Consider the following 17,768-nt stretch of genomic DNA (forward strand, 5'->3'; position numbering starts at 1 on the left):
GGACTAAATAAAATCAGAACTGAGACTCAATCTCATTGATCTAGGCCAGCTTTCATCCTTTCAGTCCCTGCTGAGATAGTGTCTCACTCCAGCATTCCCGTGGTGCGCACAGAGCCCAGTTTCTCAAATCTGCCGTGTCCAGGACGCAAAAGCCTTTACCTGGAACTACCTCTCTTCCACCGCAACCGCATGTCTCAGTGCACAGGGGCCTGGTCTGAGTTCAAGATAAAATCTGGTAAACAGTTTTTAAATTCCAGTTTTCAAATGGTAAATATCAATATCCATAGCATCTTAAGTTAATGTGTTTCCCAGTGGGGGGATTCTTAAAGGATCCTATTTTGATTAATAGATTACAATGACTTCCAATTAGTCTGGCCAGTTAGTTGTGTGTAACTATTTCACTAGAGGGTACTTGAAAATAACTTGCTTTTCTAAGTAAAAGGCCACCTGAGATTTTATAGATACACAGACTCCTCTACTTCCAACTAAGTGGGCTCTGGAAGTCTCTTGTTTCTGAGCTAGAGGAACCCAGACATGGACCGTGACTTCTCCAGTATCTGGATGTCTGTGACCAGAGGGACTGGTTCTTGCAGTGGACATAGAGGGCCACCCATTTCAGCTTGGGCCCTCCTCCTCAGCTTGGCTCTGAACTTGAGAGAGTTGTTTACCTTCTCTCAGCCCAGTCTTTTTAACTGAAAAAAGAAAAAAAAATGATTTATACTGCACTTTCCAACAATAGCCATCTTGCTTCTCTGTTGGTGACCTCTCCTGCATGGGTGAGCAAATCTCCTAGGCTTATGTGGTCCTAATAGGCCAAGCTTACAGCCACATAAATACCTGTAGTTTGGTGAAGCCTCCCATACCTGAGCTTTCTAGTGCATCCCCTTCTACTTCAGAATCTTGGAATTAGAAGTATCTTTTAAACTTTCCCCTTAACGCTTTCCCTGTTCTCCCAAAATGCGAGGAATACAGCCCTCTCCAAGGTTCAGCTGTTGCTGCAGTTGTCGTTATTGTCTGTGGTTCTCAATGAGAGGAGGGAACATATTGTCTCAGGGATTACATTTAATGATGGTGACTCAGTGAAGAGGCTCTTCTTCCTTAAAGGGGAAGATGCCTGCCATCAGTGTTTCATACAGACGAGAGAGCTTCTCCAAGAGGGATCTGAACAGGAATCATAGGAAACCTGAGACAGACCCAAATTTGTGTGGCCAGGGGAGAGTTATGTCTTACTAGGACACCCCAAGGAAGGGCCAGCTTAGCTTTTGATAAACTAGCTGGCTTGATTCTGTAGTTCTTTTGATGAGAAGTCAGCCAGTGTCACATTTCCTAATCATGGACTAGCTGCCACACGGTACTTACACCATGCCTCAGATTTCTGGATCAGTGGCAGTTTTCTCTAAGGGAAAAGCCACAGGGTAGCACAGTGGGCCTAGAGGAGCCAACTGCAGAGTGCTCAGTGGGCACTTTAAACAGGGTGGTGCAGACAGTGGCTCTGAGCACCTGTCTGTAGATCGCTGTTCAAATGCACGCACGCTCTGTTAAACTCTCACTGTGTACAAATAGGATATATTTATAGGGTTTAATTCAGCATGGCTCTACCTTACATACTGTTTGAAATGCTAAAAAGCAGATAAAGGCCAGGCAGGGTGGCTCACACCTGTAATCCCAGCCCTTTGGGAGGCGAGGTGGGTGGATCACCTGAGGTCAGGAGTTGGGGACCAGCCTGGCCAACATGGCAAAACCCCATATCTACTAAAAATACATAGCTGGGTGTGGTGGCGCTCACCTGCAGTCCCAGCTACTGGGGAGGCTGAGGCAGGAGAATCACTTGAACGCAGGAGAATCACTTGAACCCAGGAGGTGGAGGTTGCAGTGAGCTGAACTCCTGCTACTGCACGCCTGGGCAACAGAGCAAGACTCTGTCTTAAAAAAAAAAAAATTAGGAAATGATCCTTCATATGATACTCAGATTCACTAGAAGATTCTTTTCATTGTTTTTTCTACCACATTTTACATGGTTCTATTTACAGAAACCTAATGTGCATACATTTCTTATACACATCTGTTGCATGACACTTTCCACACTATCCATCCCATAATCATGAATAGACCTATTCAGAGGCCTAGGCACTGCAAGTCCTCAATGGAGGTTTTTCCTGTACCATTGCCCTCTTCTTGCATAAAAGGGTGGGTATTTTATGAATATCACCAGTAAAAAGCTTCTTCAGACATTTAATTATCTGTGATGGTGCCATTGAGGCACTGGTGCCAAGTTTAGAAGGTTCAAAAGTGAGTTAGTCGAAAAGTTCTGACAGTACCCTTAGCTAACAGACAGCAGCAGGCTGCCCTCAAGAACCCATCTCCCTTGTGCGAGCAGGCCAGCTTTCCCCAAGCAGACACGTCTCTGTCTCTGGCAATTTGCATTTTGTTTACAGAAGGAGACTGGATGAGTCCAGACGTATTGCTTATCCTGATCTGGTTTAATGGCAGTGTTTTTGTAAGCAGTTCCTTTTTCTAATTTTCTTCCAGTGACAGGAGCATCTGGTGTCCCTGAGAACAGCCCACCTTGTACCGTGAACATCCCTATTGCACCGATCCACAGCTCGGCTCAGGCTATGTCCCCCACGCAGAGCATAGGGCTGGTGCAGTCCCTACTGGCCAATCAGAATGTGCAGCTAGATGTCCTGACCAACCAGACGACAGCTGTAGGGACAGCAGAACATGCAGGTGACAGTGCCACCCAGTACCCAGTCTCCAACCGGTACTCCAATCCTGGACAGGTGATTTTCGGAAGCGTGGAAATGGGCCGCATCATTCAGAACCCCCCTCCACTGTCCCTGCCTCCCCCGCCGCAGGGGCCCATGCAGCTGTCCACGGTGGGCCATGGAGACCGAGACCACGAACACCTGCAGAAGTCAGCCAAGGCCCTGCGGCCAACACCGCAGCTGGCAGCTGAGGGGGACGCAGTGGTCTTTAGTGCCCCCCAGGAGGTCCAGGTGACGAAGATAAACCCTCCACCCCCGTACCCAGGAACCATCCCCGCTGCCCCCACCACAGCAGCACCCCCGCCCCCTCTGCCGCCCCCACAGCCCCCAGTGGATGTGTGCTTGAAGAAGGGCGACTTCTCCCTCTACCCCACGTCAGTGCACTACCAGACCCCCCTGGGCTATGAGAGGATCACCACCTTCGACAGCAGTGGCAACGTGGAGGAGGTGTGCCGGCCCCGCACCCGGATGCTGTGCTCCCAGAACACGTACACCCTCCCCGGCCCGGGTAGCTCTGCCACCTTGAGGCTCACGGCCACTGAGAAGAAGGTCCCTCAGCCCTGCAGCAGTGCCACCCTGAACCGCCTGACCGTCCCTCGCTACTCCATCCCCACCGGGGACCCACCCCCGTATCCTGAAATTGCCAGCCAGCTGGCCCAGGGGCGGGGGGCTGCCCAGAGGTCCGACAATAGCCTCATCCACGCTACCCTGCGGAGGAACAACCGTGAGGCTACGCTCAAGATGGCCCAGCTGGCCGACAGCCCGCGGGCCCCCCTGCAGCCCCTGGCCAAGTCCAAGGGCGGGCCCGGGGGGGTGGTGACACAGCTCCCAGCGCGGCCCCCACCTGCCCTGTACACCTGCAGTCAGTGCAGTGGCACAGGGCCCAGCTCACAGCCCGGAGCCTCCCTGGCCCATACCGCCAGCGCCTCCCCGTTGGCCTCCCAGTCCTCCTACAGCCTCCTGAGCCCACCCGACAGCGCCCGCGACCGCACCGACTACGTCAACTCGGCCTTCACGGAGGACGAGGCCCTGTCCCAGCACTGTCAGCTTGAGAAGCCCTTGAGGCACCCTCCCCTGCCTGAAGCTGCTGTCACCCTGAAACGGCCACCCCCTTACCAGTGGGACCCCATGCTGGGTGAGGATGTTTGGGTTCCTCAAGAAAGGACAGCACAGACTTCAGGGCCCAACCCCTTAAAACTGTCCTCTCTGATGCTGAGTCAGGGCCAGCACCTGGACGTGTCCCGACTGCCCTTCATCTCCCCCAAGTCTCCTGCCAGCCCCACTGCCACTTTCCAAACAGGCTATGGGATGGGAGTGCCATATCCAGGAAGCTATAACAACCCCCCTTTGCCTGGAGTGCAGGCTCCCTGCTCTCCCAAAGATGCCCTGTCCCCAACGCAGTTTGCACAACAGGAGCCTGCTGTGGTCCTTCAGCCGCTGTACCCACCCAGCCTCTCCTATTGCACCCTGCCCCCCATGTACCCAGGAAGCAGCACGTGCTCTAGTTTACAGCTGCCACCTGTCGCCTTGCATCCATGGAGTTCCTACAGCGCCTGCCCGCCCATGCAGAACCCCCAGGGCACTCTCCCCCCAAAGCCACACTTGGTGGTGGAGAAGCCCCTTGTGTCCCCACCACCTGCCGACCTCCAAAGCCACTTGGGCACAGAGGTGATGGTAGAGACTGCAGACAACTTCCAGGAAGTCCTCTCCCTGACCGAAAGCCCAGTCCCCCAGCGGACAGAAAAATTTGGAAAGAAGAACCGGAAGCGCCTGGACAGCCGAGCAGAAGAAGGCAGCGTTCAGGCCATCACTGAGGGCAAAGTGAAGAAGGAGGCTAGGACTTTGAGTGACTTTAATTCCCTAATCTCCAGCCCACACCTGGGGAGAGAGAAGAAGAAAGTGAAGAGTCAGAAAGACCAACTGAAGTCAAAGAAGTTGAATAAGACAAACGAGTTCCAGGACAGCTCCGAGAGCGAGCCTGAGCTGTTCATCAGCGGGGATGAGCTCATGAACCAGAGCCAGGGCAGCAGAAAGGGCTGGAAAAGCAAGCGCTCCCCACGGGCCGCCGGCGAGCTGGAGGAGGCCAAGTGCCGGCGGGCCAGTGAGAAGGAGGACGGGCGGCTGGGCAGCCAAGGCTTCGTGTACGTGATGGCCAACAAGCAGCCGCTGTGGAACGAGGCCACCCAGGTCTACCAGCTGGACTTCGGGGGGCGGGTGACCCAGGAGTCCGCCAAGAACTTCCAGATTGAGTTAGAGGGGCGGCAGGTAAGACCTCAGACCAGGTGGCGCTGCGAGCCCAGGAGGCGAGGGTTTCAGTGCTTCGGCCTTCAAGGAGCATTTTTCAAAAGGCCAAATGGGAAATGTGGAAAACAACGAACACCTCTTAGGTGGAGCTCATGGGGTTATGGTTTTTAGTGTGCCCACTGCTGTCTTGTATTTTTTTTTTTCTTTTTGAGACCGTCTCGCTCTGTGGCCCAGGCTGGAGTGCAGTGGCGCAGTCTTGGCTTCCTGCAAGCTACGCCTCCTGGGTTCACGCCATTCTCCCGCCTCAGCCTCCCGAGTAGCTGGGACTACACGTGCCCGCCACCATGCCCGGCTAATTTTTTTTTTTTTTTTGTATTTTTAGTAGAGATGGGGTTTCACCGTGTTAGCCAGGATGATCTCGATCTCCTGACCTCGTGATCTGCCCGCCTTGGCCTCTCAAAGTGCAGGGATTACAGGCGTGAGCTACCACGCCCAGCCCTAATTTTTTTTTTTTTAGAAATGGGAGTCTCACTGTGTTGTCTAGATTGGTCTCAAACTCCTGGGTTCCAAGCAATCCTCCTGCCTCAGCCTCTCAAGATGTTGGGATTACAGGCGTGAGCCAACGCACCTGGCCTGCAGTCATATTTGTAAAGAATACGTTTCTACTTCTGTTCATTGACTTTTCTGTTTTTGGCATCAGATGGTGACTTCCTAAGGAATGTGAGGGTTAGTTTTGCTCACCCTATGCACACACACACATGTATGCACACAGCTTTTCCTTCCCCATTAAATCAGTGGTCACTGGTTACCTTGTTATGCTAGTCAATAGCTGAGCCATGTATTACGGCTTAGTTACATTTCCTTTTTTGTATACTTTTCTTCCCCTAGACATATCAACTTCCTGTTATCTGTCTGTTTGCTCATTTGCCTATTTCTCTGTATATGGAAGTCATTCCCCAGTTCTCGAACCGGATGTTATCTCATGGTGCAGCTGAACACATTGGGTCCTAGTTCTTCCCTGCTCCAGCCCAGAAGGGTTGCTCTGTCCTGCTGCCAACGTCCCCCTTCACCATCCTGTAAAGTCCCTCCCCTCTCTACTTAAATTCACGTTTTCGTTAATTCACTCAATAAATGTTATTGAGAACCTGCCGTGTGCCTGGCAATCCTCTAAGCCCAGGGTTGGCATACTGGCCTTTGGGCCACTCTGGCCAGCCGCCTCTTTTTGGAACAAAGTTTTATTGGAGCACAGCCACGCTCATTCACCTGAGTATCGTCCCTGGCTGTGTTGGCCGGACAACAGCAGAGTTGAGGAGTTGTGGTAAAAACCGTGTGACCCACAAAGCTTAAAATATTTATTATCAGCCCCTCGCAGAAAGTGCGTCAGCCCCTGCTATAGTGCTAGGATCAGGGCAGTGAGGAAGACAGAGCCCCGCCGCTGTGGAACACGCAGACTGGGGACCAGAGGCGGATGAGTGCAGCCCGTGTGCTAGGGCATGGCGTCACTGTCTGATGGGATGTAGGCACAGGAACTGGTGAGGAAGTGGCCAGCAAGTCCCTCCCTGAGGCAGCGGTGTTGGACAGTGGTGGTGCTACTTCTCTTCTGGAGCCTCTGGCCTGTTTGTGTTTCTTTCTGCTTTTCTTTCTCCTTTCTACTTCCTAGGTGAAGAAACCACTTCATTTGGCCTGTAGCATTCACCCCATTCTTTTTTTTTTTTCTTTTTTCTTTTAGATTCAGGGGTACATGTGCTTGTTACATGAGCATTACGTGCATAATGGGGGGTGGGCTTCTAGTATGCCCATCACCCAAACATTGGATGTTGTACCCCACAGGTAACTTTTCACGGATGGAGCTGGAGGCCATTGTCCCCACATTCCAAACCTTGCTCACTGTCTCCATTGTGTTAACATGTTCCTCAGTCCCCTTATTTCCTGCAAACTTGGAGTTAGATATAGAAGCTTCACCAGATTCAGGGTCACTTTTGTTAGCAAAAGTATCTCATAGACGGTGCTGTCTGCTTCCATAAGGAGCCATGCAGACCCGGCTGTCGCCTTGCTCGCCTTGTTCTTTTTTTTTTTTTTTTTTTTTTTTTTTTGAGATGAAGTCTCCTCTGTCGCCCAGGCTGGAGTGCAGTGGCCCAATCTCAGCTCACTGCAAGCTCCACCTCCCAGGTTTACACCATTCTCCTGCCTCAGCCTCCCGAGTAGCTGGGACTACAGGCGCCCGCCACCACGCCCGGCTAATTTTTTGTATTTTTAATAGAGACGGGGTTTCACCGTGTTAGCCAGGGTGGTCTCTATCTCCTGACGTCGTGATCTGCCCACCTCGGCCTCCCAAAGTGCTGGGACTACAGGCGTGAGCCACTGCGCCTGGCCTTTTCACCTTATTCTTTAATGTCTTTGCTTCCCCTGCCCTCCTCCAGGTGATGCAGTTTGGACGGATTGATGGCAGTGCGTACATTCTAGACTTCCAGTATCCGTTCTCAGCCGTGCAGGCCTTTGCAGTTGCCCTGGCCAACGTGACTCAGCGCCTCAAATGAAGAGACTGGTGTGGGGAGGAGAGAGATGCAGAGAGCCTTTGGAAGAGGTCTTCGGAGATGCCAGAGGAGCCCTCTAGGGGTCCGATGCCTGGGAGGACCAGAAGCCAACAGCAAAACTGGAAAAGCCCGGCAGGCCCAGGAGAGGGCGCTGACCTGTGGTCGTCATTTATTTGGTTGGGTTTTATTACCTTTTATTGTCTGTTCTTCTTTTCTTCTTTCATTTCAGTGGCATTTGGAAGCAAAGAGTGCTAGGCACCTGCTGTTCTTTCAGGAAACAGCTTGGCTGTGGTAATGCTCTACTGGGCCCTTCAGAATGAAGACAGTCTGCCTTAGAGCCTGCTATTCTTTTAGACATAGGGAGGATGCATTATCCTGTATTCTCCTCCAACATCACCACTAGCGTAAAAGCAAAAAGCTTTTACAAAACACAGCCAAAAATTCTCAAGATGCAGGTTCTTGGGGAATGGGATGGGGACAGCATTTGATTTACACTGATTATGTTACTCCCCAAAAGGTGACTTAATTAATAAAGGGCATTTGGGCAGACACACTGTGTTGGACCAACAAAGTAGGCTCTTTACAGGGGTGTTCTCACCAGGTAGAAATGCGATTTGCTCACTGAGGATGTTGGGGAAGGGACGAAGGGTAAAGAAGAAACTGCACGTATACACAGGTTCACATCACTCTGCAGACAGCAATGTGACTCAGCGTGTGACTTGTAGCAGCAGTACGAGGGCTACACTCCTCTGCTGAGGATGTCTACATTGAAAGCCTCCACTAGTTTCATCGTTTGTCAAAGTTCCGTAGGATCAGTGATGGTCATTCAGCATGACTGGTTCTGGGAGAAGGTGAGAGACAAAAATGGAAAGATCCTGGCCTGTGGTAGTGGTAGCAGTTTTCTCAAATAATGTGGTGACAGTCACTAGATCCTCACATGCTGAGAAACAGCCTCTACTCTCTCTGCCCCTTTTACTTTTTAATCTGGAATGCATTACTGTAAACATGATCTTTCCCATGAGATACCATGTTCTATGCCTTCCCATTCTAAAAGTGTGGACAACGCTTGATTTGAAACCACTCCTTTTCTCCTCTTGGCTACATTAAAATTCAGTTGACTACAAATGCTTTCTATCAAATTAGAAATGTAACCAAAAAAATGTTAAGTGTTCACCAGGGTATTAAAATACAGAGGAGTATGGTCAAATCTTTGACAAAATTTTCATGATCTTCTCTAACAAAAAAAGTTGTTTATTAACTGTACAGACTGTTTACTAAGGAGCTAAACCACTGAGAAAACGTTATTAAAATTGTAATACCTAGGTAGTTGGTTGATCACAGTTTGTTAATTGTATAAAAAAAAATTACCTAGAATATCTCTTCCCACTTCCTCGTCCTCGTGAGAACCTGTGGGCAGTATTCAAGCCCTGATGACAAAACCCAGTGTTTTTTGTTGTTGTTTTTTGTTGTTGTTTTTTGTTTTTGTTTTTGTTTTTCTCAGTCTTACCTGTGATGTTGTTTAGGATCAGGCCCCTCTCCTGGGCCTGCTGTGCAGGAGCACAGGAACTATCTGCTGGCGTTGGGTTCCAAATTTGCATTTTATTTGGAAACAGACAAGTAGAAGATGCTACAGAAAAGTATTTTCAAATTTAAACGTTTTTTAATCCCCTGTTTTAGTTAAAAAATTGGAAAAGAAACCGACCCATTTTTTTCCCAGATCAAGATGACATGACATCACTCCCAATTCTCTCCAAACCCCAGAGAAATACTGACGAAGTTTTCTGATGTGGCAAAGGATATTTCCCATCTAATACCAGTTTCTCATTTATATTTAACGTATTGGACCTGATATTTTTAGTGGGTGCATTCTTCCAGAAAGAATTCAGCAATGTTATCAGAATTAATTCTTTTATATGAGTTTATGTAGCTTGATATGGTGTTTCAGTGCTTATTGGTTGTGCAATAATGGTTATAGCCTGTTAGATAATCTAAATGCAATTCCCCTGTTTTGTCGTTTAGGAGATAATTATTTATCTTGCTTTTCATAGTGTTCTTAGGAATTATTTTGTTGTTACGTTTTGGTGAGTTATACCCATTTTATTTATTTAGAAAAATAGTATCTTTGTTAACGACTTACATGGTCACAGTATATTTTGCTGCAAGAAATAAAGAGGATATGATAGAAGGTTTTTTTTTTTTTTTTTTTTTTTTTTTGAGACGGAGTCCCACTCTTGTCGCCCAACTAGAGTGTAGTGGCACAATCTCGGCTCCCCACAACCTCTGACTCCAGGGTTCAGGTGATTATTTTGCCTCAGCCTCCCAAGCAGCTGGGATTATAGACACCCGCCAACACGCCAGGCTAATGTTTTTGTATTTTTAATAGAGATGGGGTTTTGCCATGTTGGCCAGGCTGGTCTTGAACTCCTGACCTCAGGTGATCCGCCCGCCTCGGCCTCCCAAAGTGCTGGGATTACAGACGTGAGCCACCACTCCCGGCCCATAGAAGGTTTTTTGCTGGATAATTTGTAACTTTTCTAATTGGGAAAAAATTCCTATTAATCACTTAAAAATTTTTTTTTGTATTTTGTGTTATTGATTATATACAAAGGAGACTTTTTTTTTGAGATAACACTCAAATAGTATTCTCTTCTTTTGAAAATTTTATTTTTATCTGAAAATAACAGTTGATCTGAAATAAAAAGGGGAGACCTATTAGAATGAGAGTAGCCAAGGAAAGAGTTACTAGGTAATAAGCTTCACTTTTTGTGTTCTAATTGTTTTTGAGATATAAAGACCCTGAAAAAGCCCATTTTAGAACCTGTTTAATAAGAGCAAATATAGGGGAAAATCTTTGAAATGAAAGCTACAAATACATGTGAGAAGAAAAAAATGGATTTTTTTAGCAAATAATTAACTAAGCTTCTAAATGCCTAGCTCCCTCCCCCAAAGGCGCTTTCCCCCGATGGAGGCACAGGCTTCTGTCTCGGATGTTTGGCGCACGTGAGTTTGTATGAGTTTGTACCGGAGTGACCCCGGCAGCCACTGCCCACCTCCCCTCTACCCAGGGGCCTGAAAAGAGGGGCTGCCCTCCTGCGCCAAGGCAGACACAAGCTGCGGGCTGTGCGGTCCTAGTAGTGTGACGTTTCAGTTAATAGTGGTGGTCTTATTTTCAACTATGCTTTCATTCAGTCAGTCTCTGTTGACTAAATACGACGAAAATTCATACTTTATGCAGGAGATTTCTAAAAATTTAATGTTTATTAATAGTTTATGAATATCAAGATACCTCATTGAATCCCTAAATTTAAAAGCAGTCCAGTAAAAGGTTAACTGTATAAAGAATCTATGACTTTTTGAGGGAAGTGTGATATATTAACAAATATAACCAATTCTAAATTTGTTTTAGCTCTAACCTCATCAAACCAAAGGCACAGATTTGTGTACAATATACCCATTGAATGTATATCCTGAGAAAAATTGGGGCCAAAGAAGCAGGAAAATCTCAAAGCTCTAATGGCAGCATAAATCAAAGAATTTCACAGGCTAGTGTTTTTATCCATAGCCATTGCTCCCTTGTCAAGTGTCTCACAAGGACATGGAAGAATGTGTTATGTTCATCTTGTAATCATAGCAAAAAGTCTGCAAACCCCAGGGTCAAGCCTGCTCTGCCACAGGGTTGGATGGTGACCTTGGGCAAGTCCCTGGGGCTGGCTAGGCCTCCACTTGTCCATCTGTGAAATGAAAGGATCAGCCTGGACAGCCCTCTAAACTCCCTTACAGCTCTCAGCCTAAGAGCGCAGCACTGAACAGCCTCATCATTCCACTTTTCATGGGAAATATATTTCACACCATTGCCTTTGTGTAGAGAAATATTTCTTTTCCTGTGTTAATGAGCTATGTACTGAATATAAACCAGTGCATTTAAAGTAATATCTTTTGTGCACCTCTAAATGTGTTTGGAATTGTGTTTGTTCTCATAGAATATACAAAAGTACTGATTCTAGGTAAGAAGGAGTCTCCACGGGTGTGCCCTGCTCAGCTGGATGTCCATGAGAACAGCCATGAAATAAGTCACTACTTGTCCCCAAAACCACAGGAATATATACCTAGGTCACCTCAAATTCCTGAGTGTGCTCTGCCATGTTACACGGTCTTCAAATTGAAAAGGTTTCTTGAAAAGGAAAGTTTGGCCCAGCAACTGGAGAAGGAGTCCATGGTGTCGCTGTGTGCCTGTATCATTTGGCCAAGTCAATGGTTGTAAGCAAAGTTAGTGGAGACAAAAATGTGTCCAAAATGTCGTTTGAGTTCCTGGGATTTCTGTAATAGCACACAACTCAGAACTCTTCAGCATTTGTGTGATTCCTTACCTCTGGCTGATAAAACTCTAATGGGTTGTGGCTTACTTTGTTTCCATTTTCTTTGGCTTTGTGCAATTTTTGTGTAACTTTACTTGTACCTATATTTTCTGTTTACAGTTCTTTTTAAGGGGAGGGGTAGGGTTCTAAGATCTTGTTGTTTATTGTAGATAAAAATTTTTTCGTGTTGTAGAAAAGCATGGGTTATGCGTTTGACTGAAAAAGACACTGTATTATTTACCAAAGGGGTATTGTTTTTGCATTTGTTTATAAATGCATTATTTTGGTACTGTAAATTTGGACATAATTTCTGAGTTTATTACTACTGGCATTTTCTTTTTCCCTTTTTTTTTTTTTTAACCGTAAGTGCACGATGCAGGTGCATAGGCCCCAGACCAAACTAGACCACCAGCATGTTCATGTCCAGACCTCGGCAGTGGCGTGCACTGCTTGTGCACCTCAGTTCCTCCAGTGTTGGTTTGTTTGTTTTTTAATTCAGCATCCTGCTGGTTTTACTTTCCAAGCAAGATCTGTTGCGACTCCCAAATGCGTTTTAATGAGCTCATCCTTATTTGCCTTTCTTCTTACGTATTTTGTGTATTAGATTGTGCAGGAGATATTCTAGAAGGCATTAATGGTTTGCATTCAAAACGATGTGGTTTGTCCAAGTTATTTTCTGTCTTTATTACTGAGACGGATTAATCTCCTTATTTTTTTCTTGATGATTTGAAGTTGTAAGAGTTGTCCAGCTATTGCTTAATAAAATTTTGCAGATCAAAAAAGTTGTGTGCAGAATTCTTGAGCCTTGTGAGGAGAAATCACCTCGCTCCATTGGCATGACCTACCCACCCTCCAGTTGCTTCCTGGGTCTCTTGGTAACTGCTAGCAGCTACTGGAGACCCTGAGATCCCGGTCATCATGTTGCCCATTTGGGGAAGTCAGAGATTGTGCTGTCTTCTTGATGATCTGGTTTAGATTTGCTTTTTCATGGCTTTTTAAAAGAGGACTCGATTGGCCGGGCACGGTGGCTCACGCCTGTAATCCCAGCACTTTGGGAGCCTGAGGCGGGCGGATCATGAGGTCAGGAGATCGAGACCATCCTGGCTAACACAGTGAAACCCCGTCTCTACTAAAAATACAAAAAATTAGCCGGGCGTGGTGGCGGGCGCCTGTAGTCCTAGCTACTCGGGAGGCTGAGGCAGGAGAATGGCATGAACCCGGGAGGCGGGGCTTGCAGTGAGCCGAGATCGCACCACTGCACTCCAGCCTGGGAGACAGAGCGAGACTCCGTCTCAAAAAAAAAAAAGAGGACTCGATTAAAAGTGCACCTGTATAGCATCTAAAGATCAGAGATGCCAAATATTAACACCTTTGTTAATTTGTAGGAAACTTAAACCTAGGTTTTAAGCAATTCAACTCTAGGTGCTCATATAACTATTAACTATTGTTGTTACTCATAAGTGCTTAGTGAGCCTGCTTCCTCTGCCCTAAAGTTCCCTATGACCATGGGAGGTGGGAAGGTGGGGCATGGGAGGTTTATCTGTGATAATACATGTGTGCATGTACAGAACTACCTTTTTGGTGTTTTTCAAAGAATAAGGAATCAATTTTGCTCGAACCTAGCTCCCAAAACTCACTGTAGAAGAGAAATAACTGTCTCATGGAGATTGCATTGCAGTTTTCCAAGGATGAAAGATACTAACCACAGTTAAATCTCAACTCCATTATGAAGTGAATACCTTTTGCCACTCCTTTCAGAAGAAAATGGAAGCAGTGAGAGGTTGAAATGATTTCTGGATTCCATAGACAAAAACCAATCCTGAAACAGAATCCAAGATTTCTGGGTCACATTAATGAATAGACCTGGTTTATTCCCAGCTTCTCACTCTGGTGTGTCGTAAAGATTTGCCTGTAATGAGCTCTGAGCTACTTATACTTAGTCATCTCCCATGAAAACAAGTATTACATACAGATGGGCCACCCCTGCCCCTCATCAGGTGAGCTCATCCGCTTTATAGAATGAGATTTAAGTCCTTGTTATTGAATTCTGGAAAGAGTGAACGTTCGGCTGACCAGTTTTATTATTCACCCAGGCTTCACAAAGGAGCCAGTCTGTGTGGATTTGTTTCCCTACACTTCCTAGAAACAGCTGCTCTATGTGCTGAAGAATAAGAAGCCATCCATTGGAAGTGCTGGCTCATTTCTTGAACCCATTTCAGAGTTCCTGTCTGAGCGATCGCTTCAAGTAAAGAAGGCGCCCCAGAGTAAGTCATAGGAATTTTTTTTTTTTTTTTTTTGAGATGGAGTTTCACTCTTGTCGCCTAGGCTGGAGTACAATGGCATGATCTCAGCTCACTGCAACTTCTGCCTCCCAGGTTGAAGCGATTCTCCTGCCTTAGCCTCCCGAGTAGCTGGGATTACAGGCACGCACCACCATGCCCAGCTAATTTTTGTATTTTTAGTAGAGATGGGGTTTTACTATGTTGGCCAGGCTGGTCTTGAACGCCTGACCTCAGGTGGTTCACCCGTCTTGGCCTCCCAAAGTGCTGGGATTACAGGCGTGAGCCACCGCACCCACCACCATGCCCGGCAGTCATAGGAATTTCTTAAGCTTCAACCACCACTCAGGACAGCATGCAGACACCTTGCAAAGCATCTTGCTCTTTGTCCTCTGACCTGCCCATGCGTTCTTCCAGGTCACTGTTATGAATCCCAGCATCCCATTTGCCACTTAGCTCTGGCTGGCTCCCAGGCTCTCCCCTGCACCCAGTGATGGTGCAGCATCCTCACTGCAGGCACAGCTACGGGATAGCTCTTGTCCCGGGAAAGAGCGGGGAGCTTGGATGATAAAGGCAACCAGTCACATTGCCTTCTCCCAGTTGTGACAGCCATTTCCCATTGTCTTCAACCCTGAGGGTATGGACAACCTAGTGCTTCCTCTCTCCACTCTTCTCCAAAAGTAGAAAAGTGCCCAGACCTGACACCATTTCCCTTCTGTCCTGGGAACCAAGGGTCTCTATGTCTCCTGTTGGTTCATCCTCCAGCTCATGTGAATGATCTGTGGTTCCTCCTTTCACATGAATCAACTCAGTGTCTCCTGTGTCACCTTGAACCACTAATCAGAATCTTGCACTTTCACCCAGTAACAGGGGCATTTCCTTTTATTTCAGTGTCTGGGGTCACTGAAACAGGGGCTTGACCAGTGTTATATTTTCTTTCTCTCCCCAGTAAAAAGGCAGGCAGTCCAGACACCACAGCATGTGCATGCCACACGCATGCGCCCCCCCAACCCCTATGATGAGAAGACACACCCTCGAGTGATGAACTTCTTTCTGTGCTGGAGCCCATGGGGTCCTCTGAGTCCCACTTCCTGCCTTCCTCAGGTACCTGCTTCTGACTGCAGAAGGCTCTTCCGTCCCAGGATTGTGGTTTCTCACCAGTTTCTCAACAGTTTCCTTTGTTATAAAACTTGAGAGAAAACATTCCTCTAGTAGAAAGAGACTGCCTTCATCCACCCTTTGGAATAACCAGCTCCAGCCTAGGTCCCATTTCCTGCACTGGTGGAAGAAAAGTCTCTTCTTCGCTAAGTGGTTCCTTTGATGACCTTATAGATTCAGGCAGCTTGGGAAGGGAAGTTTCTCTAAAAGCCACAGAGCGTCCAGCTCATGGAACCCTCAGGATCCCTGGCCCATCTTAGGCCACATGGAGTCAGCCTCGTGCCCCCAGCCCATCTGTTCCTGTGCACTGCACTCCAGTGGGTCTCACCCTTGCATCCAGGGTTCTCTCCCACAGGATGAGCTTGTCAACATTCTCTTTTTCTAACACACACACTTGTCAGCAGGTGCTGGTATAAGCCAAGCTGAGCTCGTGGGAGGATGGCAAGAGAATAGGCCCAACAGTCTTTGTGGGAGACAGAGCCCACGTTTCTCCACAAACAGCTTCCGGGAAGAGTGGACGGGTCAGACTAGACCAAACCAGCCTCTTGAGAACACCACACTGCCCAGACCCACTTAGTGCCTCCGTGTAACCCGCTGGTTAGAGTCCACCTGCTAGGCAGCCAGAAGCGGCAAAAGCCCAGCCCCACTGTCCCATTCTTGACCTGGTCCTCCATGCTCACTGTGACAGCAGCACAGGCACCCCGACCGGGCCACAGCGAGCTGGTGGCCATGTCCCTGGCTCTGCTAACTTGGCCTATCTCATTTCTTAACCTGTTTTTCATGATGTGGACCTCTTGAGAGTATACTTGAAAAAAGTGAATTATCTATGTGGATAAAGGACTGGTACACTATGTTGAAAACGTAACAAACCAACCAGATGGGAAAGCATCTGTGCTATGGGACTTTTTTGTTTGCTTGTTTTGTTTAATAGGCATATTTTATTTAAATAAATCTTCCAGTAGGAAATGGAGAATGCATTGCCTTTGCTTAGAAGAGGGCCGTGTAAGGAGTTACCTGTAAATGCGTATGTGCAGCTCACCAGTATTCCCGTACTGGGAACACCAGCACGTCCGCATCACAGTTCCCAAAAGAACTTTAAAGTCTCAAACCCCCCTGTCCCCCCTCGTCTCGTTTCTCTCCTGATTCCAGCCAGGCTTTATGAATCTTTCTCTCCACAGCCTCATCTCCGTCCTCATCCACTTCCCCTAGAACGTTCATCAGCCCCTCCCTGGAGTCTGTTTCAGTGTCGTAGGGGGTCTTTTCGGTTTCTTTGTACCCTTTTTCAACCTGAGTCAGGTGATCCCACCCCGTGTTTTCCGCTTTCCTTCTACAGAAGATAAGAACTGTATCCGCCTTGCCTTCCACAGGAGTGGGTGTCAATGGATTGTTCACACTCACGGATAACCCTGCCCAGTTAGATCCTACACCAAGAGATCACACGACCTCTCTGGGGAGCGCATCTGCACGTTCTCAGCGGGAACTTGGCCTCCTCACCTGGCTGACCCCGTGCATAGTCACCGAGTGTCACTGTAGGTCCCCTGCAATGGGAGCAAACACCGCAGCTGGCTTTTCGCTGTCAAGGAGTTCTGCTTTCCTCTGTGATTTCTGCCGCATCCTGTTCATTTCTGTCTCAGTCTTGGATTTTTCAGCTGGAAGGGCATCACGCACCGTTTTCCTAGTTGCCTTTTCCAGCAACACCTTTTACCTCTTCTGGATCTTTCTATAGCTCTTCCAAGCTGAGGCCATGGCCGGCCTGGGTCAGGCCAAAGGCGCCAGCGGCAGCCGCTCAGGGGAGGGAACACGAAAGGAAACTCTCCAGGAAGCCAGCGCGCTCGACCTGAGCGCAGGCCCCGCGGCTGCGGGCTAAGTGCAAGGGTCCTCAGCCTGCGCGCGCACCTGTCCTGAGCGTGCACCCGCCCTGCGCGCACCCGCTGTAAGCGCGATCCCGGCCGCCGCCACGCAGCACGAGCGCTCCGAGGGACTTTTGAATGGAGACGGAGTCTTGCTCTGTCGCCAGGCTGGAGTGCAATGGCCCGATCTCGGCTCATTGCAACCTCCGCCTCCCGGGTTCAAGTGATTCTCCTGCCTCAGCCTCCCGAGTAGCTGGGACAACAGGCATAAGCCACCACTCTCGGCTAATTTTTGTATTTTTAGTAGAGACGGGGTTTCACCATGTTGGTCAGGCTGATTTCGAACTCCTGACCTCATGGTACGCCCGCTTCGGCCTCCCAAAGTGCTGGGATTACAAGCGTGAGCCACCACGCCCGGCCCGAGCCTGGTACTTTTTAAAAAATCCTCAGTACCTGTAGAGACACAGCTGAACATCATCTCATTAGCCAAGGTTTTCTCTCAACTAAATGGCAAGAACGGATGGCTTTCCTTTCTTTCCATTTGGATATCTGTAGTCTCCAAAAATAAGGCAAAGGTAAAGAT

The 17,768-nt window shown here is 48.0% G+C and overlaps 1 protein-coding gene and 1 pseudogene across 14 annotated transcripts in view, besides 1 other annotated feature; one reads left to right on the forward strand and one right to left on the reverse strand.

Annotated features, from left to right (window-relative positions):
- The window catches only part of TULP4 (TUB like protein 4), a 279,634-nt gene extending 266,954 nt beyond the window's left edge, over positions 1–12,680 (forward strand). For 11 of the 14 annotated variants that reach the window (XM_047419082.1, XM_047419087.1, XM_047419084.1 and 8 more), the window contains 2 exons: positions 2,530–5,030; positions 7,430–12,680. In XM_047419082.1, the coding sequence (XP_047275038.1) occupies positions 2,530–5,030; positions 7,430–7,546 (2,618 nt within the window). In that variant the 3' untranslated portion in view covers positions 7,547–12,680. The remainder of the gene's footprint in view (positions 1–2,529; positions 5,031–7,429) is intronic. The other 3 variants (XM_047419088.1, XM_047419089.1, NM_001007466.3) reach the window with 1 other exon arrangement.
- Positions 7,337–7,837: an enhancer, noted in NCBI's record as "H3K4me1 hESC enhancer chr6:158927517-158928017 (GRCh37/hg19 assembly coordinates)". NCBI's record gives its function as "activates a minimal SCP1, AML or CMV promoter by ChIP-STARR-seq in primed H9 embryonic stem cells {active_cell/tissue: H9 hESC(primed)}" and the evidence as "EXISTENCE:reporter gene assay evidence [ECO:0000049][PMID:30033119]".
- CACYBPP3 (calcyclin binding protein pseudogene 3) lies at positions 16,457–17,081 on the reverse strand (annotated as a pseudogene).

Source organism: Homo sapiens, chromosome 6 (assembly GCF_000001405.40).
Source record: "Homo sapiens chromosome 6, GRCh38.p14 Primary Assembly".
In the NCBI taxonomy this organism is placed as follows: domain Eukaryota; kingdom Metazoa; phylum Chordata; class Mammalia; order Primates; family Hominidae; genus Homo; species Homo sapiens.